This window comes from Homo sapiens, chromosome 1 (genome assembly GCF_000001405.40).
Source record: "Homo sapiens chromosome 1, GRCh38.p14 Primary Assembly".
NCBI lineage: Eukaryota > Metazoa > Chordata > Mammalia > Primates > Hominidae > Homo > Homo sapiens.
In genome coordinates this window covers 61,593,355-61,597,661 of record NC_000001.11, presented here as the reverse complement: position 1 = coordinate 61,597,661, position 4,307 = coordinate 61,593,355, and positions in this window count along the sequence as shown.

Below are 4,307 nucleotides of genomic sequence, written 5' to 3'. Positions count from 1 at the left end.
CAGGCAATTTTGTCATTCTGTGAACGTCATAGAGTGTACTTACACAGATAGTATAGCCTGCTATACACCTAGGATATATGGTATAGCCTATTGCTCGTAGACTACAAACCTGTACAACATGTTACTATACTGAGTACTGTAGGCAAGTGCAACACAACGGTGATCTCAGCTCACTGCAACCTCCGCCTCGGGGGTTCAAGCTATTCTTCCGCTTCAGCCTCCTGAGTAGCTGGGACTACAGGCACTGACCAAAACGCCTGGCTAATTTGCAGTAATTTCCACTGTCCTATCTTCAAGTTTGCTGATTCTTTCTTTTGCCTGCTCAAATCTGCCTTTGAATACCTCTAGTACATTTTTTTTTGGTTCAGTTATTGCACTTTTTAGCTCCGGAATTTCATTTTGGCTTCTTTTGGGGTTTTCTATATCTTTATTGATATTTAAATTTTGTTCATACCTTGTTTTCCTGACTTTCTCCACATCTTTAGTTCTTTGAGCATCTCTACAACAGTCGTTTTAAAGTCTCTATCTAGTAGATAGACTATCAGGTATTTTTCAGAAACAGTTTGTATTGATTTTTTTTCTTTAAATGGGCCACACTTTTCAATTTCTTTGTGTGAGTTCTGACTTCTTTGTTAAAAACTGGACATTTGAATTTAATAATGTAACTCAGGAAATCATTTTATCTTTCTCCTCCAGAGCTTACCGATTTTTACAATTGTTTTTATTTATTGTTTTTGTTTTTGTCTGATATTGTAGGCTATCTCTGTGCCAAGGTTCAGTCTAAGGTATACATTTAAGTTCTTCTTAGGTCTTTTCTGAGCCTTGCCTTTCCCTGAGCATGCATAGTCAATTTCTAATTTTCCCCATATATGCAGTTGTTTTGAATGCCCTATTCTTTAATGTCTGGCTTCCAAAAAGGGTAAAAGAGAAAAATGAAAGGGGAGAGAGGGTGCTAGCCCCTTAAATCCTATAGAAGCCACCTCAGTTGGAGGACAAGGGGCTTGCAACAATGTGGGGAGGTGCAACAACAGTGACTTCCAGCCTCTTTGTAGCTCTGTGGTTGGAAGCAGCAACCAGTTATCAGATAACAGATTTATGATATTTGGAGGACAGGTGATTTTTCCCCACCACGGTTCCTGTAAGCTGTGTGTAAGGGAGGTGGAGGGTGATGAGTAGCTACTACTGTGATAAGAGTTGAAATTGATTGATATTAACTACAATTACCCTCCAAGCCTTCCTCTGAAAGTCACAAACCTTTAACAGATTCCAGTCAATAGATTCCAGAGTTCCAAAATAGTTGCATCAGACAGATTCTGCCAGTATAATTGTTGTCTAAGCAGAGAGACAGATTGTTGGTGCTCCCTACTCTGCCATCTTCCCAGAATTCTCCTATATCCAGTTTTACAAGAAAAAATACATACAGCTTTATATTGTAAGTTAACAGGAAAGTACAATTCCCTTTATAGAAAAGACAATTATTATTATTGTTATTAATACAAACATTGATTGGATCCTCGCTGTGTACCAAGAACTGTCTTAGCTCTATGATATGCATGGTCTCATTTGGTTCACACAACAGTGCTATGAGATTGGTACCGTAATAATCTCCATTGTAACAGAAGTGAGATTCAAAACAAGATATGGAGGAGCCTCTCTGAATCTATTCTGGTTCAGGGGCTGCCTGATTCAAAACAAAAAAATAAGAGATAGGCTACACTTTGAAAACCACACTCTTTTTCTTCTCTCTTTTTAAAATGTTTACCCTACTTTCAAGCTAACAAGTTGAAAAACCACACACTTGGTCAGGCGCAGTGGCTCACGCCTGTAATCCTAGCACTTTGGGAGGCTGAGGCGGGTGGATCACCTCAGGTCAGGAGTTCAAGACCAGCCTGGCCAACATGGCGAAACCCCGTCTCTACTAAAAATACAAAAAGCAGCTGGGCATGGCAGCAGGCATCTATAATTCCAGCAACTTGGGAGGCTGAGGCAGGAGAATTGCTTGAACCTGGTGGGTGGAGGTTGCAGTGAGCTGACATCTTGCCACTTCACTCCAGCCTGGGCAAAAGAGCGAAACTCCATCTCAAAAAAGAAAAAAAAAAAAAAACCAGCCACACTCTTAAACATGATGTTATAGTATCTCACAAGAATCCATATTGCATTCTGTATTAGTCAGCTTTTTCCACAATAATGCTACGTAATAACTACCTTAAAACTCAGTGGCTTAAAAACAACAAACATTTATTCTGTGTTCAAAGGTTTGCAGATCAACCAGGATTTGGCTGAGTTTGGCTGAGGTCATCTGGGAAGTTCTGTGCTTGTATTTGCTCCATATTTGCTTTTTTTGGTGTCTAGGCTAAAGAAACGGTAGCTACCCAGGGCATGTGCCTGTCAAGGCAGGCCACCAGTGCACAAGGTTGAAGCTAAGCCAAGCATGCACATTTAAGGCACACGTCATGTCCACGAACACTTTATCAGTCAAAGCAAATTGCATGGCTAAATTCAACATCAGTTGGGGGAGAGAGGTACCCATGGTGGCAAGAGGAGGGGAGTAGATATTTATTAAATAACAGTACAAAGTATTGTGCAGTCTTTTTATTTATTTGTTTTTCATAACGTTTGAGTCAACTTAATCCTTTTCATTTGGGCAGGTATTATTTCAGTTTTACTACTGTGCAAAGATGCAAAATTCCAAAGCTGCTACTGAAGATTTCAGCCCTTCTAGCCTTTAGGTGGTTCTATGCTGAGTCCTAAAATGCTGGCTATTGAACTCTTTAGAATGGTGCCATTGTTGGCAGATCTGAAATCCATACTATTCTTCACTTGATTCCCTGCCAAGTCCATAAAGGTGTTTATATTTTTTAAAAACCCCACAATAAAAATTTGATTCCCTCAAGAGCAATGTATTTTCGGAAACCCAGAAGCTTTTTGTGAATAGCTCTTATAAAGAATCAGAATAAGATCATCGTGTTTTAGAGCAGCCTTAAGAGGGCACTTAGTTCAACCTTCTCATTTTACAGATGAGGAAACAAATAGTTTCAGTTTCAAGCTTTCAATTGTCATATACAGTGGGATAAATTATTTTTCATGTAAATAAAGCAATGAGAAAAAAATGTGGGGTGATCTTTTCACGTCTTACTGCAACTATAATTCTGCAACAGAGATCTCTGTTCAGTTGATTTTATGAGAATCCTCATAAATCAGGCAACTTCCCTGATTGCCTATGAAAAACAAAAATTAAGTCTTTATAATCATGGGGATCCTCTGCTTTTAGAGCCAGCAGAATAAGCGTAGAGATATCTAGTCACCTCCTCCAGTGTCCTGAGGCCATCTAGGACTGTTTTCTCCTTGGAGAGGCACTAAGCCCCATTTTTCAGAAATAGAGTTACAAGCATCGTTTCAGGCCAGAAACTTCCACTATTGAGCTAATGTTTTCCCATATTATAACTGTAAAGTTAGAATGAAGTGTGTGCTGGGAGTGAGGCTAAGCGCAAAGATTAGAAAAACCTAAGGTAAAAAGTATAATTCATTAGATAAATATATTGAATACCTCCCATGTTGTCAGGTCTGGTGCTAAGGCACTAAGGTTATGCTGTGAACAAGACAGAAAAATCCACTGTGCTCACGATGCTTCCAGTCTAGCCTGGACATGTAACTAAAGTGTTATGGAAGCAAATGTACAGGGTGTTATGGCAGCGGGCAGTGTGGGGTTTAACCTGGTGTATGTGGGGGCCTGAGGGGAGAGAGCTTTCCAGGCAGAGAATAGAGCACATGCAAGGGCTTAACAGAACTGAGAAATGGCCAAGAAGACAAAGCTTAGCAAGGAAGGGGTGACTAATAAGAGGGTGGACAGGTCGTCAGGGCCCAGGCTGTGGGAGGGGACTTAGAGGACAAGGGTAGAGCTTTGGACTTTATTCTAAGGATGAAGAGGAGACATTCTCTGAAGGCTCTGAAGTAAGGGAAGGATATACAGTAATTGCATTTACTTTATAAAAGGAACATCCTGGCTGTAGTGTCAAGAATAAATTGGTGAGGGGGGAAAAGAGGGAACTGGGGGAATCTTAGAGAATTCCATCTAGAACAAAATAAGAATCTGGCTGGTGAATCCAAATATTCCACCCAGGTTGGCTGTAGATTTTGTAGAGAAAATAGGCAGCGTGAGTGTGTTTGTGTGTGCGAATGTGCATCCATATGTTCATATACTAAATAAAGCATATTGAAGGCCCTCTCTTACGGTGTATGTATATATATATATTTTTTTTTTTTTCTTTTTTTTTTTCAAGAGAGGGTCTCGCTCTATCACCCAGGCT